Source organism: Homo sapiens, chromosome 6, assembly GCF_000001405.40.
Source record: "Homo sapiens chromosome 6, GRCh38.p14 Primary Assembly".
In the NCBI taxonomy this organism is placed as follows: domain Eukaryota; kingdom Metazoa; phylum Chordata; class Mammalia; order Primates; family Hominidae; genus Homo; species Homo sapiens.
The window spans coordinates 111,482,649-111,509,143 of record NC_000006.12 but is presented as its reverse complement, the minus strand read 5'-3'; the positions used below and the strand labels follow the sequence as shown (position 1 = coordinate 111,509,143).

General features: G+C 41.3%; 1 protein-coding gene, 1 non-coding gene and 1 pseudogene across 19 annotated transcripts in view, besides 9 other annotated features; 2 read left to right on the top strand and 1 right to left on the bottom strand.

Moving 5' to 3' along the window:
* TRAF3IP2-AS1 (TRAF3IP2 antisense RNA 1) overlaps positions 1–25,672 on the bottom strand; it is a 118,824-nt gene extending 93,152 nt beyond the window's left edge. For 3 of the 4 annotated variants that reach the window (NR_034108.1, NR_034109.1, NR_034110.1), the window contains exon 1: positions 25,479–25,672. This is a non-coding gene — a non-coding RNA (TRAF3IP2 antisense RNA 1). Of the gene's footprint in view, positions 1–5,535; positions 5,849–24,282; positions 24,401–24,998; positions 25,027–25,478 lie in introns of those variants that run through there. The other variant, NR_034111.1, reaches the window with a different exon arrangement.
* Positions 1,154–1,676: an enhancer, noted in NCBI's record as "H3K27ac-H3K4me1 hESC enhancer chr6:111828671-111829193 (GRCh37/hg19 assembly coordinates)". NCBI's record gives its function as "activates a minimal SCP1, AML or CMV promoter by ChIP-STARR-seq in naive H9 embryonic stem cells {active_cell/tissue: H9 hESC(naive)}" and the evidence as "EXISTENCE:reporter gene assay evidence [ECO:0000049][PMID:30033119]".
* Positions 1,677–2,200: an enhancer, noted in NCBI's record as "H3K27ac-H3K4me1 hESC enhancer chr6:111828147-111828670 (GRCh37/hg19 assembly coordinates)". NCBI's record gives its function as "activates a minimal SCP1, AML or CMV promoter by ChIP-STARR-seq in naive H9 embryonic stem cells {active_cell/tissue: H9 hESC(naive)}" and the evidence as "EXISTENCE:reporter gene assay evidence [ECO:0000049][PMID:30033119]".
* On the top strand, positions 13,431–14,156 carry LOC107986520 (uncharacterized; annotated as a pseudogene).
* Positions 20,965–21,014: an enhancer, noted in NCBI's record as "active region_24947". NCBI's record gives its function as "activates an Ori minimal core promoter by ATAC-STARR-seq in GM12878 lymphoblastoid cells {active_cell/tissue: GM12878}" and the evidence as "EXISTENCE:reporter gene assay evidence [ECO:0000049][PMID:35858748]".
* Positions 21,025–21,124: an enhancer, noted in NCBI's record as "active region_24946". NCBI's record gives its function as "activates an Ori minimal core promoter by ATAC-STARR-seq in GM12878 lymphoblastoid cells {active_cell/tissue: GM12878}" and the evidence as "EXISTENCE:reporter gene assay evidence [ECO:0000049][PMID:35858748]".
* Positions 24,780–25,139: an enhancer, noted in NCBI's record as "active region_24945". NCBI's record gives its function as "activates an Ori minimal core promoter by ATAC-STARR-seq in GM12878 lymphoblastoid cells {active_cell/tissue: GM12878}" and the evidence as "EXISTENCE:reporter gene assay evidence [ECO:0000049][PMID:35858748]".
* Positions 25,210–25,599: a silencer, noted in NCBI's record as "silent region_17479". NCBI's record gives its function as "represses an Ori minimal core promoter by ATAC-STARR-seq in GM12878 lymphoblastoid cells {active_cell/tissue: GM12878}" and the evidence as "EXISTENCE:reporter gene assay evidence [ECO:0000049][PMID:35858748]".
* Positions 25,433–26,495, top strand: part of REV3L (REV3 like, DNA directed polymerase zeta catalytic subunit) — a 184,679-nt gene continuing 183,616 nt past the window's right edge. For 11 of the 15 annotated variants that reach the window (XM_011536029.4, XM_011536030.4, XM_011536028.3 and 8 more), the window contains exon 1: positions 25,915–26,394. In XM_011536029.4, the coding sequence (XP_011534331.1) occupies positions 26,256–26,394 (139 nt within the window). In that variant the 5' untranslated portion in view covers positions 25,915–26,255. Of the gene's footprint in view, positions 25,546–25,914; positions 26,395–26,495 lie in introns of those variants that run through there. The other 4 variants (NM_002912.5, NM_001286432.2, NM_001286431.2 and 1 more) reach the window with 2 other exon arrangements.
* Positions 25,640–25,869: a silencer, noted in NCBI's record as "silent region_17478". NCBI's record gives its function as "represses an Ori minimal core promoter by ATAC-STARR-seq in GM12878 lymphoblastoid cells {active_cell/tissue: GM12878}" and the evidence as "EXISTENCE:reporter gene assay evidence [ECO:0000049][PMID:35858748]".
* Positions 26,040–26,339: a silencer, noted in NCBI's record as "silent region_17477". NCBI's record gives its function as "represses an Ori minimal core promoter by ATAC-STARR-seq in GM12878 lymphoblastoid cells {active_cell/tissue: GM12878}" and the evidence as "EXISTENCE:reporter gene assay evidence [ECO:0000049][PMID:35858748]".
* Positions 26,400–26,469: a silencer, noted in NCBI's record as "silent region_17476". NCBI's record gives its function as "represses an Ori minimal core promoter by ATAC-STARR-seq in GM12878 lymphoblastoid cells {active_cell/tissue: GM12878}" and the evidence as "EXISTENCE:reporter gene assay evidence [ECO:0000049][PMID:35858748]".

The window sequence follows — 26,495 nt, the reverse complement described above, 5'->3', positions numbered from 1 at the left end:
AAAAAATAAGCTTAAAAAAAAAAGCACAAACAAACTCTGTCAGCAGAGAAAGTGGTAAATAATTTCAGAATGGTATGGGAGAGTAGACTCTTGTCCCCCAACACTCAGTGTTCCCATTACATTTGCTGAGAGCTAAGGAGCCCTCACAGACAAGATACCTATTACAGGAGAGCTTGACTCCTCAACTCCCCCTAGCAGAGGAATAATTTCGGAAGAGTATACATGAAGTATACTATGTCCCCCGACTGTTTACTCTGAGTTCCTGCTACTTTTGCTGAGAGAGCTAAGGACCCATCACAGACAAAATCCCTATTACAAGATAACTCGACTACCCATTTTCAACAGAGAGGAAGATGAGTGGTGGTATTCCCTAGAATTCTAATTGCAAAAGAGGCATTTTTCTGGCCGAGTGTGGTGGCTCACACCTATAATCCCAGCACTTTGGGAGGCTAAAAGCAAACTTGAGGCCAGGAGTTTGAGACCAACCTGGGTAACAAAGCAAGACCCCTCCTCTAAAAAAAGAATTAAAGAAAAAAAATTTTAAAAAATTAGCCAGGCATTGTGGTGTGCACCTGTAGCCCTAGCTACTCAGGAGGCTGAGGCAAGAGGATCACTTGAGCCTAGGAGTTAGAGGCTGTAGTGAGTTATGATTGTGCCACTGCACTCCAGCCTGGGCGACAGAATGAGAGTCTAATTTAAAAAAAAAAAAGAAAAGAAAAAAAAATTTTTTTTTGAGACGTAGTTTCACTCTTGTTGCCCAGGCTAGAGTGCAGTGGCGTGATCTCGGCTCACAGCAACATCCGCCTCCCGGGCTCAAGAGATTCTCCTGCCTCAGCCTCCCAAATAGCTGGGATTACAGACATGCGCCACCACGCCTGGCTAATTTTATATTTTTAGTAGAGATGGGGTTTCTGCATGTTGGTCAGGCTGGTCTCAATCTCCCAACCTCAGGTGATCTGCCCACCTTGGCCTCCCAAAGTGCTGGGATTACAGGCGTTAGCCACCGTGCCCAGCCAGAAAAAAATTTTTTTAAAAGAGGCATTTTCTCATTGAAACAATGTTAAAAATGATGGGTAAGTTTCCCTAAACTATGAATTAGATAAGTTATGGAGAGCTGGCCTGAAAACCTAGTAGCCATTTTAAGATTGTTTCTATGAAAAACACATTTGTAGGTCCAAAAATTGGCTTACCACCAAATTTTTGAAATATATTCTATCATAGATTAGGAAATGGAGGGATTTTTAAAAATTTTCATGTACACAAATTCTTTCAAGTGGGGTTTCTGTTCCAAGATGGCCAAATAGGAACAGCTCCGATCTGCAGCTCCCAGCATGACTGACGCAGAAGACAGGTGATTTCCGCATTTCCAACTGAGGTACCTGGTTCATCTCATTGGGACTGGTTGGACAGTGGGTGCAGCCCACGGAGGGCAAGCCAAAGCAAGGCGGGGCATCACCTCACCTGGGAAGCGCAAGGGGTTGGGGGATTTCCCTTTCCTAGCCAAGGGAAGCAGTGACAGACTGTACCTGGAAAAATGGGACACTTCTGCCCTAATACTGCACTTTTCCCACGGTCTTAGCAACCAGCAGACCAGGAGATTTTCTCCTGTGCCTGGCTCAGTGGGTCCCATGCCCACAGAGCCTTGCTCACTGCTAGCGCAGCAGTCTGAGATCAACCTGCGAGGCTGCAGCCTGGCTGGGGGAGGGGCGTCCACCATTACTGAGGCTTGAGTAGGTAAACAAAGCGGCCAGGAAGCTCCAACTGGGCAGAGCCCAGTGCAGCTCAGCACTGTCTACTGCCTCTATAGACTTCACCTTTGTGGGCAGGGCATAGCTAAACAGAAGGCAGCAGAAACTTCTGCAGACTTAAATGTCCCTGTCTGACAGCTCTGAAGAGAGCAGTGGTTCTCCCAGCATGGTGTTTGAACTCTGAGAACGGACAGGCTGCCTCCTCAAGTGGGTCCCTGACCCCCATGTAGCCTAACTGGGAGACATCTGCAGTAGGGGCCAACAGACACCTCATACAGGTGGGTGCCCCTCTGGGATGAAGCTTCCAGAAGAAGGATCAGGCAGCAATATTTGCTGTTCTGCAGGCTCCGCTGGTGATACCCAGGCAAACAGGGTCTGGAGTGGACCTCCAGCAAACTCCAACAGTCCTGCAGCTGACGGACCTGTTAGAAGGAAAACTAACAAACAGAAAGGAATAGCATCAACATCAACAAAAAGGACATCTACACCAAAACCCCATCTGTAGGTTACCAACATCAAAGACCAAAGGTAGATAAAACCACAAAGATGGGGAGAAACCAGAGCAGAAAAGCTGAAAATTCTAAAAACCGGAGCGTCTCTTCTCCTCCAAAAGATCACAGCTCCTCGCCAGCAATGGAACAAAGCTGGATGGAGAATGACTTTGATGAGTTGACAGAAATAGGCTTCAGAAGGTCGGTAGTAACAAACTTCTCTGAGCTAAGGGAGCATGGTCTAACCCATCGCAAGGAAGCTAAAAACCTTGAAAAAAGGTTAAACGAATGGCTAACTAGAATAAACAGTGTAGAGAAGACCTTAAATGATCTGATGAAGCTGAAAAGCATGGCACGAGAACTTCGTGATGCATGCACAAGCTTCAATAGCCGATTCGATCAAGTGGAAGAAAGGGTATCAGTGATTGAAGATCAAATTAATTTGAAATAAAGCAAGAAGACAAGTTTAGAGAAAAAAAGAGTAAAATGAAACGAACAAAGCCTCCAAGAAAATATGGGACTTACATGAAAAGACCAAATCTATGTCTGATTGGTGTACCTGAAAGTGACGGGGAGAATGGAAGCAAGTTGGAAAACACTCTTCAGGATATTATCCAGGAGAACTTCCCCAACCTACCAAGGCAGGCCAACAGTCAAATTCAGGAAATACAGAAAATACCACAAAGATACTCCTCGAGAACAGCGACCCCAAGACACATAATTGTCAGATTCACCAAGGTTGAAGTGAAGGAAAAAATGTTAAGGGCAGCCAGAGAGAAAGGTTGGGTTACCCACAAACGGAAGCCCATCAGACTAACAGTGGATCTCTCAGCAGAAACCCTACAATCCAGAAGAGAGTGGGGGCCGATATTCACACATTCTTAAAGAAAAGAATTTTCAACCCAGAATTTCATATCCAGCCAAACTAAGCTTCATAAGTGAAGGACAGATAAAATCCTTTACAGACAAGCAAATGCTGAGAGATTTTGTCACCACCAGGCTTGCCTTACAAGAGCTCCTGAAGGAAGCACTAAACATAGAAAGGAACACCGGTACCAGCCACTGCAAAAACATGCCAAATTGTAAAGACCATCAATGCTATGAAGAAACTGCATCAATTAATGGGCAAAATAACCAGCTAACATCATAATGACAGGATCCAATTCAAACATAACAATATTAACCTTAAATGTAAATGGGCTAAATGCCCCAATTAAAAGACACAGACTAGCAAATTGAATAAAGAGTCAAGACCCATCAGTGTGCTGTATTCAGGAGACCCATCTCACATGCAGAGACACACATAGGCTCAAAATAAAGGGATGGAGGAAGATCTACCAAGAAAATGGAAAGCTAAAAAAAGCAAGGGTTGCAATCCTAGTCTCTGACAAATTATTTCAAGTGCACATTAAGCAACAAGCATTTTTTGAGTTCCTGAACATCTGTTGCATCAACAATCACAGTACCTGTACTAACATATTACTAAAGACTCAAACAAAACTTGGAGGTTCATGTTATTTGCTTTATTTCTGTATATGTTAACAGTTTTTCATTAAAAAAATTTTTTAAAACTCTTCAAACATAAATTCCATGAATCCACAAAAGATCAACTTAGGCTGAAATTGGGTGGCAATGTAAATAAAGAACCTCTAATAAAAAGAAAAATCTTGAATTTTGAATTGCATCCACAATATAGACAGCAAACCAACTATCAAAATGTTGAAAACATTTGAAATAATGCATCTATATTGGATCTTCCAAAATCTCACATAACTATTGTTCACAATTAAGAATGCCTTTCAAATGGTTACATGTGACTTTTTTTTTTTTTTTTTGAGATGGAGTCTCGCTCTGTCGCCCAGGCTGGAGTGCAGTGGCACAATCTTGGCTCACTGCAACCACCACCTTCCAGGTTCAAGTGATTCTCCCGCCTCAGCCTCCCAAGTAGCTGGGATTATAGGTGCTTGCCACCATGTCTGGCTAATTTTTGTATTTTTAGTAGAGATGGGGTTTCGCCATGTTGGCCAGGCTGGTCTCAAACTCCTGACCTCAGGTGATCCACCCACCTCGGCCTCCCAAAGTGCTGGGATTACAGGCATGAGCCACTGTGCCGGGCCTTTTTTTGTATTTTTAGTAGAGACAGGGTTTCACCATGTTAGGCAGGATGGTCTATATCTCCTGACCTCATGATCTGCCCGCCTTGGCCTCCCAAAGTGCTGGGATTACAGGCATGAGCCACCATACACGTGACATTTTAAAGAATCAATATACACCATAAGTAAAACTGAATTGAGGCAAATCTTACTAAATTTGGCACAAATGAAAGATCTCTGTTAAGTCTCTGAAGATATTATTTAATTTTAGCTCTTTAATCTCAACTCTGATATTTTATGATTCAATTACCAATTAGTACTTTCAGAACCATACAGCAAAATATATATTCCCATTAATTTTTCAAATGTCTAAACACTGACTACTTTTATATATTTCCATATTATCTAAAAATCCATTGTAATTAATATAGAAAGGAAAATTCATCTTTTTAAGTATCTCTTTTTAGTATATTTATCTTTTTAAGACGTAGCTTAATAAAAGTCTGCTGGGCTTCCTAAGATATAATTTTATTAAATTCAGAGTTGAAACTTTTACTCTTTAGATATCTACAGTTAACTAATAAATTTTCTATAACATACTTTCATATCTTTTATAAACAGAATATTTTTAAAACCCACAATTGCATGATATAAAAGAAAACAATAATTAAGTAGACAAAATAATAAATGAAATATGATATGGCTTCTGCTAGGTACCTATGAGTTTTACAGAATAATCATTTCAACAGATGTCCTTAGAGAACAAAGGAGAATGAGAAAATGAAAAAGTGGGGGTGGCATGGAAGATATTTTGTTATCTTCTACTGTGTGGTCTTTCACTGCACTATACTTTAAACAGAAAAAGGCCTCCTCAAGGGCAAGTCCTGCTTCAAATGTCCCCTTCCCCTCCTGACTACAGAATAATGTGTTTGTGTAGTATACGATTACACCAGACAAGACTGTGAACACATGTGATTTACTCAATGATCCTATTCTGCTTCCTTTTAAAGATAAAGAATGCATTTAAGTCGATTGTGTGTGAGACTGTGGTAATTCCTTAGAAGCCTCCATTCAAACAGAGAATAATATTACCTTATTTTAAAACATTAAGAGCATAGCTATTTTCCTGGTCTTCATTTTCCTTCCAGACAACAACATTAATACTTTCATTTATTTTAGAATAGACAAGTGTAACACGAGTGATTATTTTAAAACAGTTTTAATTTTTCTTTGTATAAGCAAGATGCCCCCATAAAACATTCACTTTTCAAAAACCTTTATATGCAAATAACTTACAAAAATCTGTGTAAGATAAAAGAAACAACTAAAACCAGACAGGCACCACCACCACAGATCCTAATAGCAGGCCAGATCAAGATGCAGATCTCCTGAAAACAAGCTGCTCACATTCCCAGAACCACAACCCCCTGGGGGTGGAATCTTGTCTTCTTTAACTCGCTGGGTGGTAGAGCCCATAGGAATTACTCAAACTATGAAAATCCCAAAGCATGGTCACCTACAGGGAAATGAGACAGATATGACTTGAGCATAATTATTTTCTTCTAATAACAGTTAAAGAAAACAACCTTAAATAGTAAAAGTTGTGTGAGCTTCAACAGGTAGATAATTGTGTTTGTTTTTACCAAACATAGCATTTGTTAGCTTACCAAGGAGGAAAATATACAATGTATTGTTGCCATTTTTTCTTTAAAATAATATTCTCTAGGGCACACATATATAGTGATTATAGATACACTTAACCAGACATAGTGTTCTTGGTATTTCACATGGTTTATTTCATTTAATCTTCACAATAACCTTATGAGGTAAGAACCAATTTTTTTTTTTTTTTTTTTGAGACACAGTCTCGCTCAGTCGCCCGGGCTCGAGTGCAATGGCGTGATCTTGGCTCACTGCAACCTCTGCCTCCCAGGTTCAAGCGATTCTCCTGCCTCAGCCTCCCAACTACCTGGGATTACAGGCGCATGCCACCATGCCTGGCTAAATTTTGTATTTTTAGTGGAGACGGGGTTTCACCATGTTCGCCAGGCTAGTCTCGACCTCCTGACCTCAAGTGATCCACCTGCCTCAGCCTCCCAAAGTGCTGGGATTACAGACATGAGCCACTGTGCCCGGCCCCAAGAACCATCATTATTACTATTTTTCAAATAAAGAGCGAAGACACAGGGAAGTTAAATTACTTGGCCAAGATCACACAACCAGAATTCAAAACCAAGTATCTTGTCTCCAGAGCTCTTACTTTTAATTTAGTAAAAGTAAATGTGAAATTGGATTTTTAACCCCGTTATCATACAGAACCATTCCTCCAAGATTGTAAATTCTGAGTTTCTTCCCTGTGAACTTCTACCTCTTTGACTCATTGTGACTGCCAAACTCTCAGTCCCTTCTAATTCATCTTCTGGTTTCACCTGCTTTCATTTACAGCCTGGACTCTAGTCATTTCAATTATGCCCAAATCTCCTGCTCAGTCCTCACCAGCTAGAGCCAAACCAAAGTGGTCCCTTGTACCAGCAATCTCTGCTATTACTCTTCTTAGCAGTGATTCAATCAAGAAAAGTCATGCTGCTTCTTTTTAAGTGAGTTCACTACTGCTCAGCAATCCTTTCACTGACACTACACAGCATCTATAGCAGCGGTTCCGAACTTTTTCTAGGACTAAATCCCTGAATATACCCATCTATCCCTTTATAGATTACTTTACCATGGATTTATTTAAAATTCATCCGAAGTAGGGTTGCCATATAAAATACAGGATGCCTAGTTAAATTTGAATTTACAATAATAAAGAAAAATTTTAGTTTAAAGTTATGTCCCAAATATAGAAACACGTAAATAGTATTTAAGATAACAAAAAATACCAAATGTACCGAGCCAAATATTGCATGAGACATACTTAAATACTAAAAAAAATTGTTCATCTAAAATTCAATTTTAACTGGGCATCTTGGATTTTAATTTGTTAAATTTAATCCAATCAAATTCCCTTCTTTCCATTCCCAGAAGTATCTTTTCTGTTTTCAAAGGTTAATTCTCTGAACTTTTATTTGTCTTTCTCCTTACTTCTCTTTCTTCCTCATTCTACATATTCCTTCTTTGTACTTTCAAGCATGTTCGGGTCATCTCTACTGTGTGTTGTTTTGAGACAGGGTCTTGCTTTGCTGCCTCCCATGCTAGAGTGCAATGGTGCAATCATAGCTCACTGAAGCCTCAAATTCCTGGGCTCAAACAATCCTCCCGCCTCAGCCTTCCCAGTAGGTGGGACTACAAGCACGTGCCATCACACCTGGCTAATTTTAAATTTTTTTTGGAGAGACAGGGTCTCCCTATGTTGCCCAGACTGGTCTCAAACTCCTGGGCCCTCCCATCTCGGCCTCTCAAAGTGTTGGGATTATAAGCAAGAGTCACCACTCCTGGCCTCCTACTGTGGTATTAAGCGTCCCAATTCTTCATCCCTCTATGAATCCATGCCCTTTGCCATGTCACTTTGCAAGTTCTCTAAAGAGGAGAATTCTGTTTCTCTGCTCCTTGAATACGGGCTTGGCCACATAAATTGCTTTGGTCACTAGAATGAGGGAGAAGTGCTAGTGTCAGTTTGGAGTCCATGTGTTTGTGTTTGCCGCCACCCCCAATTTTTTTTTCTTTTTTTGGGAGAGTCTCACTCTGTCGCCCAGGCTGGAGTGCAGTGGCGCAAACAGGTTCAGGTGATTCTCCTGCCTCAGCCTCCCGAGCAGCTGGGACTACAGGCATGTGCCACCACACCCGGCTACGTTTTGTATTTTTAGTAGAGACGGGGTTTTACCATTTTGGCCAGGCTGGTCTCGAACTCCTGACCTCAGGTGATCCGCCCGCCTCGGCCTCCTAAAGTGCTGGGATTATAGGTGTGAGCCACCGCGCCCAGCCTCTGTTTGCCCTCTTCAACACTTCTTCCATCTTCATGAGAAAGATATGCCTAAGTGAGCTGGACAGTCACAGAAGGAGGATGATAGGTAAGTGTCCAGCCTAGAGCAAAGCTCCCAGTAGGTCTGCTGATGTATGAGCAAGCCCAGCTGGGAGGAGCCAACCCTCAGACATGTGAGCTATAATAATAATTATTGTCTTAAGCCACTTTAGAGTGTTTGTTATACAGCAAAACCTAAATGATGCATCTACCCTGAAAAACCTCATCCTGACCATATTATTCTAAGTCCCTTTGTTGTATTCCCAAACTGCTGCAAAAAGTATCCTTTAGTTTTTGCTTGTATTCCTTTGCATTTACTCTTATCTGTACCACTTCTCTTTTAACTGACACCAAAATTCTCCTAATGGTCAGTCTTACAGCTTTGGCATGATCCTCATCCATGCTGGCCTCTGTACAGCACCTGACACTATAGGTCATTTCATACCACTGTTAAATTTCTCCCGCTTTTATTGTACTCCACTAGTTTTTATTTCTTTGATTGTTCCATTTACTTCAAGGGCTCATCTTCTCTCTTCCACTCTTCTAGGGAGTTTATTCATTCTCTCAAGAGTGACTGTTATGTATCTGACTTACACATCTTTATTTCTACTCCTAATCTCTATTTCAAGCTCTAGTTCAGTTGGTCCTCAAACTGCAGTGTGCATCAGAATCACTTGGACGGCTTGTTAATATTCAGATTGCTGGGGCCTCACTCCCAGTTTCCTATTCAGTAAGTCTGGGATGGGACCTGTTAATTTTCATTTTTAGTAAGTTCCCAGGTGATGCTGATGCTGCATCAGTGACCACACCTTGAGAACCACACTTCTAGTTCCATATTTCCAACTCCCTAACAGTTTTCTCCTAGTTATCCATAAGTGCTTCAAATATCACATACAATGTCAATTAGGGTAGTTTTTGTTTTGTTTTGTGTTGTTTTTAATACTGTAACCACTAGTAACTAACAGTCTAACTAATGCAAAAGAAAGATTTATCAGGAAGCTCACTAAAGACTGCAGAACCATGTTCCAAATAAAAAGATAACCAGAAACTAGACTACTTGACAGTAGGAGCATTACCCCTAAGTCTGAAGTAAACTGAGTGTTTGTTGTTTTTGAATCCCTCAGTTCAAAAGTCAATTCCAAATGAGAGTCACCTATCTATCCCTTCGTTGTACCAAGGGAGAGACAGAAAGGATTATGGTGGAAGTAGCCACCAAGGACTCCTTTTCTTTCACATTGTCTTAGTTCAGGCCCTCTTAATTAAGCAGGTAGATTACTACGACAGCCTCTTAACTAGTTTTCTTGCCCCTAACATAACCTCCAATTCATTCTCCACATCATCTTCAGTTATCTCTTTAAGACACATGTCATTTTCTTCTTTGCCTTATCTGGTGCAGTATTCATGTCTTATCTTGTTTTAAGTAATAAATTGCTTTTCTCCATATACAAGTGGTTGCAATATTTTTGCCTTAGCTGACACAAAAAATGGAAAAGCAGTTTGAGAGGGTAGGAAACACAGCCCATTGTAAACTGAGGATCTAATCACCTAGTAATCAGGCAAGAGTCAGAAGCAGAGTACCAAATTTTGGATAGAGACCCCTCAAGGAGGCTTTAAGATATCAAGTCTCTCACTAGACTGAAAACTCCCTCATGGCAAGGATCTAGTTCTCACTCTTTCCCCAGCACCTAGCTCAGCACCTCACAAATAACAAGATTTAATGACATGAAGAAAGTCATCTCCAGACCCTCCCCTACTTTAAATTACTAGCTTACAGTCTCTGCCTGCATATCACCTCACCACCAAATCCTTCCTACATACCACTGCTAAATCAAGCCAATTATCATTTCATTTCCTGCTCAAAACCTTCTGACTGTCCAATACATGCTCGCCAACTCTAAACTCTTCACCATTCAAAGCCTTCCAGAACTTGGTTCTAACCAATTTTTCTAAGCTTTCTTCCACTCCTCATTACACTGTCAGTCTGGATAAATAAGGTTTAACATAACATTTTTCCTGTTCTTGTTGGTTCCAGTTTTTGTAGTATCTGTCTTCCATGATGTCTCCCCTATCTTACCGTCAAAATCTAGTTAAGATGCCACCTGTCAGTGACCTACCACTCTAGGTTATTGGTAACGTATCCTCGTACCCTATGCTCCTTAATTACTTAAGGATCTATTTGAAGCTTTTGTTAATTACTGTCCTGTTCGTATATATAACTTCTAGTAGTTGAACACATACTATCTTAAATTATAATTATGTAGTTGTATTATTTGTCCTACCAGATTTTAAGAGACTTAAGAGCTTTCTGCCACTAATCTTCTATATCCCCAGAAACTTCTGTAGTGCCTTATACATAGTGGGCAATAAGTAAAATCTGTTAAAAAGATGAATAAATGGATGTTTATAATACAGCACTAGTGTTTGGGGCTGGTCCCTTGAGGTAGCCAGCCTGTGACTGTGCCAGGGATTTCTGAGCTGCTGAAATCAGAGGGTAATAAATCCTGGCAGCTTGGAACTGGATGGTGAGTCTAAATCAAAGATCATCAGGTTGAATGGAGATTCAAATGCCAGGAACAAGCATCAAGTGAAAAGGTCCAAAAGACAGAACCTGAGATGAAATGTAGAGCAAAGGGTATGGAATCAGGCAGAGACACAGTAAAGGCAACAGTCGTCATAACATATTGATGAGGATCTGAATGGTGGACTTTGGAGCGGGGGCCATGCAGTGCACTCATCAAGGTGAGTGGTTTGTTGGTAAAATAATCACCTAAAAATTGGAAGTTAGGTTGGCATCCAATTATCATCTCTAGCAAAGAAACACATATATGAAAATAAAAAATTTATAATAGCAAATATAGAGAAATTAAATAGAACCTGCTTTGAGAGGTGGATTTCATTTGAGCTTCATTTTGTTGCTTCTGCCCTGTCACCTTAATTTGTTTCACACATTTGCACAAGTTCACATACAAGTTGTATTTTTTGATTCCTTTATATTATGGAAAAAGAAAAACACATTTTAAAAGAGATAACATCACAGCACCCAACATCAATACAAAAACTCAGAACTTATTTTTACTGTATTTTTTAGATTTTTAATCTTTCAGCGAAGCTGCAATAACAGTGTACATAATAACCACTGATTTTTCTACATGAACTGTTCACAGACTAGAAAATTCTGAGATTTTATAAAAGTTTAAAAATCCTTAAAAATGTTTAAAAAACCCTAATTATGAGAAGTACATATTCTGTTATCAAAAATCCTAAAAAGTTTAATTCCAACAGCTACCTTGCCCTATAAAACATTTGTTTGCCTGTCAATCTGTGAGGTTGGATCGAGCAACTCTGTCCCACACAGCGTTTTCTTGTACTCATTAGTAGTAAGCATTGTGGCAAAGACTAATGTCCTCATGAAAAAGACAGCAAAATTCACTTTAAGTTCTTCTGTACAGGTGCAATAGTCCTCTGAATAAATTGTAAAAATTAAAAAAAAATTTTTTTTTGACACGATCTCACTCTGTTTCCCAGGCTGGAGTGCAGCGGTGTGATCATGGCTCACTGCAGCCTTGATCTCCTGGGCTCAAGCAATCCTTCCACCTCAGCCTCCCCAGTAGCTGGGACCACAGGTGCACACCACCACACCTGGCTAGTTTTTTTATTATTATTTATGGAGATAGAGTCTCACTATGTTGTCCAGGCTGGTCTCAAACTCCTGGCTTCAAGGGATTCTCCCACCTCAGCCTCCCAAAGTGCTGAGATTACAGATGTAAGCCACCATACCTGGCCGGAATTTTGTTATTTTGATTTAAATGCTGAATGAAGTAAGTTTTAAAGCCTATATTATTCTTCCTGATATAACTGACAGAAGGATAAGTTCTCATATTAGGTTCTTTAAAAGTTAATATATTTGGTGGCAACACAGAAGAATAGGAAGATCGCTTACCAAGGAGGTAGGTAACCTGGATCTCACTTACTCTATGGGGTCTTAGGCAAGTCATTTACTTTCTCTGAGTCTCAATTTCTTCATTATAAAATCTAAAGACTTGGATTATTTCAATGGTCTTGACAGGAAGACTGCACTGGAATTGCCTGTGGGCATTCTGACTTGGTAGATATGAGAAGAAAGGGCCTAGATAAATGTATCTTTACAACGTCTCATAAATGATTCTGATGCATATTACTGGTTAAGAACCAATGGTATAAATAATTTCTTGGGTTATTTGAAATTCTAAGAATCTACTTTTTACATCCAATCAACGGAATTTTTAAAACTCCTACCTTTCACTATTACATCATTCTTCTTGATGAATAAGTATATTTTAGGAAATGGAGAAGCTGCCTCTAAATTGTGAATAGCTTACTGTTATTGAGTGCTTAGCAGTCTAAGGTGTTAACTCATTTAATATATGTAATTCAATCTTCACAACAACACTAAGAGGTAGGTACTACTATTATTATCTGTTTATTACAGACAGGAAAAATGAGGCACAGAAAGTAATTTGCCCAAGTTATGGAGCAGGTAAGTAGGGAAATTGGGCTGCAGAGTTTAAACACCAGAATGCTCTACTATTATTCAATAAATGACCTATATATACCAATAAGCCCCATCACTATTCCCCACCCGAATAGTGCTGTTTTCCCTGCTACTACAGGGGAAAAAAGGGGTATGTTTTTAGACAATCTTTGAGAGCAGAAGGGAGAAGCTGGGAAACTCAAGAATGAAAAAACTCAAGGGACCTGGGCCTAAGACCTCTGGCCCTGAATTACAACTAGAGACTACTTTGATTTACAAAAGCCTCTTTAAATAGGGTGACTATTTTTAGGAGTTATTTTCCTTCAGTTATCATTTCATCCCATGATGTCTAAGACATGCTCTTTTTGATTGAATAAATATTAATTTTAAAAAATATTAGAAATGTACCTTATCAGATGAACTAGACCCAAAACTGTAAAGCAAAACAGGAAAGGATAAAAGCTATGTTAGAGTCAAAGGGAATGATAATCAAATGATTCAGCCTATTGTTAATTTTGGGTATGCAAAGGAGAATTATAACACCATACTTTGGCATAAGGTAGAGATTAATCCATAACACGGTATAACCTTCCCTTCCCAACAGTATTAGATGGGCTGTCTACTTGGGTGATGAATTTACTCAGGATGAGGGCAGGAATTCAGGTGAAGGAGAAAGACTGTAAGCCAAGTGTCAAAGTCTTTAACATCTTTAATAAATTAAGTCTTGAAAGACTATGAATATGCTAAGTACAGGGGAGCAGATATTCTAGAATGAGGATCCTTCTCTTTTCTCTATGAGCTTTCAGTCTAAAAACATGTTATACAAATGCAGAAGTAAGCAGCCTCCTAAGAAAAATGAGTAGTGTTTTCCTTCATTCATAAAACTAATCTTTATACTGCTTTGCAGACTTGGCAAGAACCTCTGGTTCACATTTTCATCCAAAGGCTAGATTTTCCCCACTAAAGAGGAATGGAGAATGAAATTACCTGCTAATTCAAGCAAGAAAAATATCAGCTCTTATTCTCATAAATTTGTGAAAATAAATTACAACTAGATTGCCCCAGTTCTGATTTGAAAACATCTGGTGAGACCACTAGGTATAGTTTCTCACTACTTTTTTTTTTTTAAAGTGTAAAAACACACATATTCAAAGGTTTTAAAAATAATCTTAAAAGAACAGAGTAGCATGCTATTTCCTGACAGGCTGACCTTTACACAAAGAATGTTCACTTTCAACAAACTGAAAATTACTCTTACTGATGGCTTCAGAATATCACTGTCTACCTCAGAAAGCGGAATGTTTTGTACAAATCATAAATAAGTGGCTAGACGGACACTATTTGGTCATCAAATGATCAATGTAGAGGGCAGGGGGAAATTATTTCTGCAGTACCAACCATATATCTGGTACTGTGCAAAGGGAAAAAGGAAATGGGCTGGGAATGGTGGTTCATGCCTATCATCCCAGCACTTTGGGAGGCCCAGCTGGGAGGATCCCTTGAGCCTAGGAGTTTAAGACCAGCCTGGGCAACATTGGGAGACTCCATCTCTACAAAAATAAAAAAACTGGTGGCAGGAGCCCATAGTCCCAGCTACTCAGGAGGCTGAGGCAGGAGAATGGTGTGAACCCGGGAGGCAGAGCTTGCAGTGAGCCAAGATCGCACCACTGCACTCCAGCCTGGGTGACAGAGCAAGAATCATTCTCAAAAAAAAAAAAAAAAAAAAAAAAAAAAAAAAAAATTCGCCAGGAGCAGTAGCGCACGTCTGTGGCCCCGGTTACTTAGGAGGCTGAGGTGAGAGGATCGCTTAGGCCCAGGAGGTCAAGGCTGCAGTGAAGTGTGATTGCACCACCGCACTCCAGCCTGGGCAACAAAGCAAGACCCTGTCTTAAAAGAAAAAAGGAAATGTAGAATATGATTCCTAATGTCAAGAAACTTACAGTTTATTGGTCAATTACATAATACTGGAGTCCAGGACCATGTCTTACTCTTAAAAAAAAAAAATCAACCACATCGTTTAACATAGAATTTTATAAATATCAGTGAGTTAATAAAAAGTTAAAATAATACAAAAAGCTTAGAATTGAGCAATAAAATGCATGTTTAATATAGGCGACTGGGCCAGGCATGGTGGCTCGTGCCTGTAATCCCAGCACTTTGGGAGGCCGAGGCGGGCAGATCACCTGAGGTCAGGAATTTGAGACTACACTGGCCAAACATGGTGAAACCCCGTCTCTACTAAAAATACAAAAATTAGCTGGGTGTGGTGGCGGGCACCTGTAATCCCAGCTATCTGGGAGGCTGAGGCAGGAGAATCGCTTGAACTCGGGAGGCAGAGGTTGCAGTGAGCCAAGAATGTGCAACTGCACTCTAGCCTGGGTGACAGAGTGAGACTCTGTCTCAAAAATAAATAAATAAATAAATAAATAAATAAATTAATTAAATTAAATAAATAGGTGACTGAGTGAAGAGATAACAGTTAAGCTGGTGTAATTATAATCTTTGAAACCTCTATTAACAACGAAAACACATGGACACAAGGAGGGGAACAACACACACCGGGGCCTGTTGGGGGGTGGGGGACAAGGGGAGGGAGAGCATTAGGACAAATACCTAATGCATGCGGGGCTTAAAAGCTAGATGATGGGTTGATAGGTGCAGCAAACCACCATGGCACATGTATACCTAAGTAACAAACCTGCACATTCTGCACATGTATCCCGGAACTTCAAGTAAAAAAAGCAAACAACAAAAAAACCTCTATTAAAAAATCTTCTTCCTATTCCAATTTTATATTTTGACTAAGTACTGACACAGGAAGGTCTCTACTCCTACTTACTGAAATCTTTAAGAAAGAAAAGAGTGGGTTAACTTGGCAAAAAGAGACAGGGAAAGGAAGAGCAAACCAGGCAGAATGAGTATCACATGCAATTCTCTCTTCTGTGTAGAAAGAACATGGTATGTACCAAGAACTGGTGATATCAAATAGTGAACTAGAAAGTAAGTTCCTTGAAAAATTCAGGATAGGATCCAAAATGGAGCAAAATTTTCAGCCTAAAAATGCTCAGTGTGATATACAAGATAATGTAAAATTTGAACCATTCTGTTGTTGGCCAACAGTGGGAAAATGGTTAGGTAAATTATCATATGTCCACAACACAGCATATTTTGCAGCCATTAAAACAATGTATATGAAGAGTTTTAATTTACATGGAAAATGCTTGTTATGATGCAAAGTGAAAAAACTAGGACATTATTTTCTCTATGTAATATATTTACAGAAAAATTTTCTAGAAACAGAATGGACTAGAATGTTAATCATGACTTCCACTGGGTGAGACTGAATGTTCTATATTTTTCTTTATTGTCCTCCATGTTTTCCATGCTATGCATTTAAAAACTTTTAAAATTGGAAAAATACATTTTATTGAGAAAATGAAGAAACAGAAGGACTTATCTATATTTACACATCTGAGAATAAGTAGTCTTTTCTGGCCTCTGGAATGAGGATGTAAAATAAAGCAAAATCTAGGAGAATCCAGTGTCAATAACAAAGTTTTCTGTGTGTGTGTTTTTTGAGACAGGGTCTTGCTCTGTGACCCAGGCTGGAGTGCAGTGGTGATCATGGCTCACTGCAGCTTCAACTTCCTAGGCTCCAGTGATCCTCCTGCCTCAGCCTCCTGAGTAAGTGGGACTACAGGCATACATCACCACGCCTGGCTAATTGTTAATTTTTTGTAGCGACAAGGTCTCACTATGTTGCCCAAGCTGGTCTCAAACTTCTGGGCTCAAGCAATAATCTCACCTTGGTCTTCCAAAGTACTGGGATTACAGGCATGAGCCACCCTGCCCAGTCTCAGTAAAAAGCTTTTTAGTGGGAGTTTTTCTGGAATGTGATTTACACTGTGAATATTAAAATGCAATAAACTTTGGGGCCAGGGGAAACTACCCTGAGATATGTTGATCCAAATAGATACCTAGCTTCTGAGATTTTGCATCTTAATTATTTAAATTGGGAATTTTATCTATCCTTACTCTATGTGTGTTTGGTCTCCTCCTGCCTATCTATAATATAATCCATTGGAAATGCTCCAATATCAATTCTGGATATGTAATTTAAATGAGGGTCCTGGAAAGCTCAGGCATCAGTTCTAATATTACTCTATTCTGAAAGTTTCTTTTATTTCTTGTTCCTCAAACATCATCTTTAATTTATAGGCTATCAATTCCTTCCTTAAGACTATTACTGCTAACTTATGGAAGTGGAAGTTGTTTCAGAAAAGTTTTGCTTCTCTGAGTAACTGAGTAAATTAATTGGTTAAAATGAATAGAGAGATCTCTGTTCAGGAAATTCATCTCTCACCACATGATAAATCTGACTTTGGTTTAAAGAGAAAGAAATAAAATATGTCTTTTAGCCAAGAATTATTTTATTATTATTCATTTAGGCAACAAATATTTATGTGCCTACCTTGTACCCAGGAAGGTTCTATGGAGAAATTGCAGAAACCTGCATATAAAGCCTTTTGGGACTTTGTATGGTTGATGCAATTGACTCCAAAGTTTGCCGTACTTACTTAGGCCTTCCAAATGCCTCTGAAAGGGAATGAGTTTCTTTTCCATCATGGTTTCATAAAGGCAAGAGACTGGATGAAGGGCTGGGTACAAATTTACTTTAAACTAGGCCAGGGTTTTTCAACACCTGCACTATTGACACTTTGGACCTGATAATTCTTTGCGCTGCAGGGGCTGCCCTATGCATTGTAAGATGTGATAATCAAAAATGCCTCCAGATATTTTGCCAAATGTCCCCTAGGGCGGCAAAAATCACCCCTGGTTGAGGAACACTGAACTAAATGACTCAGACATTTGCCCTACAGTAGTTAAGAAAACTGAGTTATCTGAAAGTGAAGGAAAGAAAAGGGATGACACAAAGAATAATTTAGCTTGAGGCTGGGCGCCATGGCTCACACCTGTAATCCCAGCACTTTGGGAGGCCAAGGCAGGCAGATCACTTGAGCTCAGGAGTTCGAGACCAGCCTGGGCAATATAGTGAAACCCTGTCTCCAAAAAAATATGAAAAATAGCTGGGTGTAGAGGTGCACGCCTGTAGTCCCAGCTACTCAGGAGGCTGAGGTGGGAGGATTGCTTGAGCCTGGGAAGTCAAGACTGCAGTGAGTTGAGATTGGGTCACTGCACCCCAGCCTGGGTGACAGAGTCTCACTCTGTCTCAAAAAGAATAATTTCGCAGGGCATGGTGGCTCATACCTGTTATCTCAGCACTTTGGGAGGCTGAGGCAGGAAGATCGCTTGAGCCCAGGAGTTCGAGACCAGCTTGGGCAATATAGTGAGACCTCATCTCTATTAAAATAATTTCTAAAAAAAAAAAAAAAAAAAAAAAAAAATTTAGCTTGAACTCTACCAAATTTACTAGAAAACAAAGTATCTAAATGATTGAATAAGAAAGAAAATACTGCCACTCTTGTCAAATCACTATGCCCTTCTACCTTCTCCTTAAAGATGAATGAAAAAACAGTGACAAGACAGTCTTTCTTACCATAGAAATGACTACTTACATAGCCGCAGCTCAGAAGATTCTCTAAGTATAGGAGTAAAAGTAATAAATCTAGAGTTTGGAGGCATGAGTTCCCACTAAACAGCTTTATTTCTTTGGACCTTAGCTTACTGATATGTAACGGAGGGGTGTTGGGCAGGCAGTAGAGAGAGTTGTAAACAGATTTTTAAATTTTTTTAATTCAATAAATGTTGATAACTTATATTCTAGGCATTATACTTGGATCTAGTATATAAAAGATGAAAAGATATGGTCTGCTCCTTCAAGAAGATAACAGTCTATTAAACTGACAGACTAACAAACAACTACAATAATATAAGCATTATAATAGAAGCACATACAAAGAGAAGTGGAAGGCTAGAAATAACACCTAAATCTGTTTGAGGAAATCAGGGAAACCTTTACAAGGAAGTGGCATTTGAGCTAAAACTTGAAAGATAAATAAGAATTTTGCCAGGAGGCAAGAAGGGAAAATGTACTATGCCAGTTAGAAAGGCAAATGCACAGAGATTTGATAGTTTTTCAAAAAGAATGGCATGTTTACGAAGCTATAATACCTCAGAGGTGCTAGAAGATAAATGGAAAAGGTGAAAAGGTATGAAGCCGAATATCTATCTAGGCCAAATCATGAAGTTGGTATGCCATAAACACTGTTTTTATGGCAATAGATGATAATTTGACATAGACGATAACTTAAAATTTATGTGGTACACAGATCACCCTTGCAGTACAGTAGAAAATAAAATTAGTGGGGAATAAGCCAAGAGACCAATCAAGTGACTACTGCAATAGTATACCTAAAGCTAGTGAAAGGCTACAAAAGGACAATGATTCTGTGGACAAAAATGGGGAATATTCAGGAGAAAGAATAGGCAGGACTTGAAGTATGAATGTTGGCGGGGGGGATTACAGCTAAAGTGTATTCAGATTGTGCTAAGTATTTTTGGCAATACTTCATTTAATCCTTATAATATCCCTAATAGGGATGGAAAGCAGTCCAATTTGCTAAAAGGTAATTTGCCAACGAATCAGTTTGCTATATTTACCAAATACTTGTTTTAGAGAATATTCACCTCAATATATTTAATGAATGTATTCTTTTTTTTTTTTTTTTTTTGAGACATGATCTTGCTCTACCACCCAGGCTGGAGTGCAGTGGTGCGGCAACCTTGACCTCTCGGGCTCAAGTGATCCTCCCACCTCTCAACCAAGCAGCCTCTCAGTCCCACAGGGTTTCACCATGTTGCCTAGGCTGGTCTTAAACTCCTGGGCTCAAGCAATCCTCCCACCTCTGCCTCCCAAAGTGCTGGGATTACAGGTGTGAGCCATCGTGCCTGGCCAATGAATGTATTCTTGGTACACTTTTTTAATGAATTCACTTTTGATGAAATGATTTTTTTTTTTTTTTTGAGACAGGGTCTCACTCTGTTGCCCAGGCTGCAGTACAGTGGCAACACTATGACTCCACTAACTCAGTCATAGATGTACGTTTGTCTTATATTAACTTTATTACTCTTTTGAGTTCTCGCACCTCATAGGTCCACCAGAATCCTATGCTCATGAGGCTCAAGGCTCACTGCAGCCTTGACCTCCCCAAGCTCAAGCTATCCTTCCACCTCAGCCCCCAAGTAGCTGGGACTACAGGCATGCACCATCGCACCCAGCTAATTTTTGTATTTCTGGTAGAGATGGATTTTTGCCACGTTGCCCAGCCTGGTCTCGAACTCCTGGGCTCAGGCAATCCTCCCGCATTGGTCTCCCAAAGTGCTGTGATTACAGAGTTGAGCCACTGTGCCTGGCCCTGACAGTTAATATTCTTAAATGAAGAACTATACCTTAAAAAAAAATAGATATGATAAAACTAAATTCCAAATCCAATGTAATAAGAGTAGCATATCTTATTATGACAACTTTCTTAGTTTTTCCTGGGGGCTACCTGATGAAGATAATGAAGGTAAGATGGTTCTCTTTGCTTTTCTGTGGTGCTCTGCTCTTTTCTTTTTTTTTTTAAACTATCAGAAATTGCCATCTATCTGGAGTCAACTACCATTTACATGTGACACATAGAACCCACTAACCACCTTTAAATTGTTATCTCAAATATTTGTTTCATCATCAATGTAGGTGGTATTATTTATTTGACAATACGAAAAAAGTCATCATAATTCTGCTTTCCGGGATATGAGAATTTGAAATCCTTTTTAACTCAACTCTGTAGTGCTCATGGTTCATAGCTGTACACAGTGGAGGTCACTCTAGGAGTTTAGTGGAGAGCAGCAACTCCTCTTTGGGGACATTTAGAAATACATGGGGAATTTTTTATTGTTACAGTGGCATGTAGTGCATGGGGGCCAGGGATGTTAAATGTCCTGCACAATGAAAAACTGTTTCACCAAAAATGCCAGAAGCCCCATTTGAGAAACCCAAGCGCTCAGAGCCATCAACTTCATGAACATGCGACAAGTATAGTCACACAGGGCCCAGTGCTTGGTTTAATGCTCTGTAGTCACTGTCTTGAAAATTGTAATACTTTTATGTTTGACTATCTGTTTTGTAAGTCCAGTGGTATAGCAGAGCATAATATGCAAGCAGAGGTATGTATCCTTTCTTCCTTGCCGTTCTATTTGCATATGGTCTCCATGATGCCTCATGACAAAGGATTCTGGTGGACCTATGAGGTGCAGGAACTCAAGAGAGTAACAAAGTTAATACAAAACAAGCATGTAACATCTATGACTGAGTTAGTGGAGGCATAGACAGTTCCAAGAGGCTACACTTTTCATTCAAATCCGAACTTGCTTCAGGTGCAGAAAGAAGGCAACAGCATCTTTAAGAAACACAAGTGATTACATCACATCCTTCCTTACTCATGTGTTACTTACCACTATTAGCCAACCATTTACACAAAAAATGATGACAAAGAATGAAAGGGAAAGTAGGGCAACTCAGCACTCCCTTTCCTTTCATCCTTCCTTACTCATCAGTAAGCAGAAGATGGAGAATGTTGGTAGAATGTGTGCATATCAAGAAGGAAAACAAAAATAGTTTTGTTTTGTGCAGAGTTTACACTGCTCTGATAGCACAAAATACATATGCATTTACAAGCTATGAATTGTATAATTTTGGTGATTCCACATACAATTGAAATGCTCTTATATTTGCATTTTAAAACGGCATTACACAATATAAAGATGAATGGTAAAATTCATCCTAAGAATTAAAAAATTTAATTTTTCTTCTCATAGAATGACATTAAAAAGCAAATTTAAAAACACTATGACAAGTGGAGAGAGCGACGACAGAACAAAGAAAAAGCTTTATATTTTAATACAGATAATAGCACATTTTCCCCTGTGTTGGAACAAGAGGCCTTACGTTTTCATTTTGCTCTGGGCTCCACAAATTATGTAGCTGGCTGTGACTGGGCTGGTTGAAGCAAAAAGGGATTAAAAGATACTATTTAGTTCACAGATCTCTCAGAGGGCCAGAGAACCAGACTTGGATAAACCAAGCTAGAAACAACATCCAAGAAAAACCAAACCACAAAGAACACCCATCCCACATCACAAAGCTATTCTAGTGGAAACCCATCCCAGCAATGCCTGCCAGTCAGCACCTATGACTCTAGAACAGATGCCACAACTCCTCCCTACCTACCCAGAGGAACCAGATACCTCCTTCATGGTATTTGTCAGAAGATACTTATCTCCCTGAGTGCAGTTGAAGCATCATGTTGCTCGCTCTCACATCCATGTCCTGAATGGGTACATCTGATTGCTGGAAACTAGGTCATATACTGAAGCCAACTTCTGATTGTCAGCATCCTTTCCAACTAACTCCACATTTACTGAAGTCACTCTGGTAGAGGACACATTTGTACCATGTAGTCCCAACTAGTTGGCAGGTTGAGGTGGGAGGAGCCTAGCAGTTCAAGACCAGCCTGGGCAACATCGTGAGACCCTGTTCCTCAAAAAGAAAGCAAACCGAATTGGCCAATGCTACAAATTAGGGCCTTCCCTCTTCTCTAGCCATTGTTAAACATTTACTGATCACACCATTGATCTCACACCAGCAATCTAGCTGCAAAGGAGTCTGAGAACTGTAGTTTGTTTTCCAGCTTTTAAAGTACAGAAAAGTAAGCAAGAAGAGGGTTGGATGAATACTGAATAAGCCATCTTATAGTATCTGCCACAAAAGTATGGTAGCTACTACTGTCTGTTCTAGATTATAAACTGCTAACAGGCAGATGTTAACAGATGTTGAACAGTATTGGTAAAGGAGACTTGGTAGGCTTTTACTAAAGGCAGACATGCTAAGTACATGTCAGTGAACTAGAAGAGATGATTAAATGTTAATTGATATGATTAAAATACATTTTTAGGATGCTAGACTATAAACCTTATAAGGGAAGGGACCATGTCTGTTTTGTTTCTCACCATATCTCAAATCTCCTGGCAAGAAATAGCCACCTAAAAAAAAAAAGAAAGCACAGTCAGGTGTGGTGGCTCACACCTGCAATCCCAGCACTTTGGGAGGCCAAAGTAGGCAGATCGTGAGGTTAGGAGTTCGAGACCAGCCTGGCCAACATGGTGAAACCCCATCTCTACTAATAATACAAAAATTATCCAGGCATGGTGGCACATGCCTGTAGTCCCAGCTCCTCGGGAGGCTGAGGCAGGAGAATTACTTGAACCCGGGAGGTGGAGGTTGCAGTGAGCCAAGATTGTGCCACTGGACTCCAGCCTGGGTGACAGAGTGAGACTCTGTCTCAAAAAAAAAAAAAAAAAAAGCATTAAGGATATTAAGTATAGAGTTCAATTTTTGCATTTCTCATACTGTATGTAGATAAGTCAATTCCAAGTGATTTTACTGTTTCTCAATGAATCAGACTTCTGGATATGAACATTTTACTATATTTTCACATACATTATCTCATTTGAGCCTTATAACATCCCTGAGAAGTTAAAACAGGAATTACTATCCATTTCACAGATGAGGAAATAAATTCCAAAAAATAAGTGAGCACTTAGCTAAATGATGGTTTAATATTCACATTCTCTGACTCAAAATTCCAGAACTTTTTCTTACTTCAGGAAGAATATACATATAAAACACATTTGATAGTGGTTAATTAGGGGGCTATTGTCAGGTTTTCAATTTGAGCATCAACTTAAAACTAAATTACATGCAATGAACACAACATTCCTAATTTCATGCTGCAAATGTTTTTCTTCAAGAGTGAACATTCTTGGAGTTCTAGAAGGATTTGACTTGTGGTTGCAACTGCCTTTTCTTAAAGTAAATAATGTTGATTCAAGAGGTAAGGGGAAAGAAACCCTCTTCTAGAAATCGCAAATCTGTTAATTTGATGCTTTTACCATTTTCTAGTTAGGAATATTATAATTTAAAAGTTATGGATACACTGATTATAATATAGTACAAGGATTCTCAATTTTATTTTGCTTAAGAATCACGGGGTGGCAAGTAGTGTTGCTAACAATACAGATTCCCAGGCCCCATCCCCCAAAATATAATTCAGTAAGAGCCAAAATATCAACACTTAAAGAATTCTAGGTGTCATGGAACACTGAGAATCACTGATATTGTGTATCTGACATTCGGCGTGTACAAAATATTTATTTTATAAAAAATACATTTTAGCATGGTAGTCATATTTTAAAATCACTTCTATAGCCTTCTAAAATTTCAGATCAAGAGATTTTGCCTCTTAAAAATATTAGCTAATTTCCAGCATATTAGTAGAAATCTTGCCACGTATGTTTATAATCATGCTCTGAGGTTAAAAACTACAAGCTAATTTACTGTAGTAATCAGTCTCAAATCCCTCGGAGCGTAAGTTCTTATTATAGCATTTATATGTTAGGGAATTTATAGACAGCTTCTTACCAGTGAGCTGTCTCTTTGGGCCTTTTGATTTTCCTATTTGAAAATCCACAACGGTTCCAAACGAGTAGCTCTCACACCACTTCAAATACGTGGCAACCTGGTAACCACTAAAATGCACCTGTATAACACACAAATGTAAAAGAACGATCTCTACTTGGATGGGTTAGAAATGTGTCAAGGGTCCTAATTCAGGGGCAAATTTCGAACTTGAACCCACGCTTTCTGCCTCCTACAGCTTGCATCTTTTTGTTGAGAAGAAACCCTTCAGGATTAGTTTTTAAGAGAAACCTTCCCGTTTTACATATGTAGAAACTGAGCCCAAAGAAACAAAATTATTTGTCCAAGGTCACGCCCAATATCAGTGGCCAAGTCAGAGAGGAACCCCTTGTTTCCAATTTAATAGCCAAGCCAGCTGCATGTTACTACTCTTTAAAACAAAAATTCCCTAACTGCATCGCTTCACCCCCTCTCGATTTTTGAATAAAGTTGTTTATTCAAAACGGCCCTTCCCCACGGTGGTGCTTTTATGCCTTCGGGTAGTAAAACCTTCCATAACGTGTTAGTGAAAAACACGAGGAGGCCACGTCTAACGCGGTGACTTTCACAGGCCTTTTTCTTTGGCCAAAATTTTCTCGGAAAGACTGTTAATCCTACATTCCGCTGGGGGAGGAGCGACGAGGGAGGAGGGAGGTCACCGGCAGCTGACAAGTCCTTACATGTACTTGCGCGTGCCCGGGACGCAGCCTGCGGGGCCGAGGAAACCAACGAAGGATGTATTAGGACGAGAGGGAAGGAAGGGGGCGGGAGAAAAACACGGTAGTGGGAAATCCCTGTGCACTGGATCTGCCAACCCCTCGCAAAGCTGAGAAGAGCCGTGCGTGAATAAATCTCATTAAATGGCCCGGCGCAGACACTGCAGCAGCAAAGAGGAGGGGGCACCGCGGCTCGCGCGGCACGTTCGGGAAGGGGGAACGCCAGGGCGGCCCTTTTATAGGCCGAAGCCCGCGCCCGCGCGCCCCCACCCTTCGCACCGCCCCCGGGCCACGCGCGGAGCCGCGGCGTTACCTGAGAAGGGCCGGCTGCGTCCGCACCCGGCCCCGCCCGTTCCGCCGCCCGCCCGCCCTTCCCTCCCGCGAGGCCGCAGCGGCACGAGATCTGCGCCTCGCCTCCCTCCTCACGCGGGCGGATTTTCTTACCTTGTGAAAAACCGTCTCAGCGGCTGCCCCCGCCTCCTCTGCTGGATGTGAAATGGCGGTCGGCGAGGCAAGTGTGAGCATCGCAGCTCCTGCCAATCCTGCATAGCCGCCAAAACGGCCCCGAACACTGGCGCCCCCCTCCCGCAAGCCCCTCGGAGCCCATCCATGAGATCGGTGCTCCGCCGCCCCTTCCGCTGCCCCTCACCCAGGTGACCGTGCCCGCCAGCCGAGTCATCGATCCCGCGCGGGCGCTGCCGGCCGCCGGCCGCCTCCCTCGCCGCGTGCCCGGGGAGGGGGAGAAAGCCCCTTCTCGGCCCCCGCCCTCCGTGTCCCGCCCGGGCGCCCGCCCTCTCGCTCCTTTTCCCGCCGAGCCCCCTCCCCCGCACTACTCGCAGCCTCCCTTCGCCACACACACCCCCCTCTCCCCTCCCCCCAGTGGTTGCGTCCGTGACATCATCATCATGGCAACAAGAGCTGCAGCCTGGGACCGAGGAGCCCGTGTGATTCCCGGCGGTGGCGGCAGTGGCGGCAGCACCAGCACCGACGAAAGCTCGAGGGCTTCTCTCCTGCGGCCCCTTGCCGGGTGCTCCTGAGGAGGCGGCGGCAGCAGCGCCTACACCGCCCCGCCCGCCGCTCCTCGAGGTGCCTCTGTGTGAGGGGAGGGGGCCGTGCCGAGAAGGGGAGGGGGCGCCGCCGCCGCTGCGGAGGGAGCCGCCGCCGCTGCTGCTGCCGCTGCCGGGTCGCCAGTGAAGGGAGGCAGTGGCGGCGGCGGCGAACATGTTTTCAGTAAGGATAGTGACTGCAGACTACTACATGGCCAGCCCGCTGCAGGGGCTGGATACCTGCCAATCCCCCCTCACCCAGGCCCCTGTCAAGAAGGTGCCGGTGGTGCGAGTCTTCGGAGCGACCCCGGCAGGTAAGCGGGCGCCGGGCGCGGGGCGGGAGCGGGAGTCGGCGGGGCGCCGGGGCCGCCCTCCCCGCCGCGCACACGCGCACACGCCACCGGCGCCGGCCGTC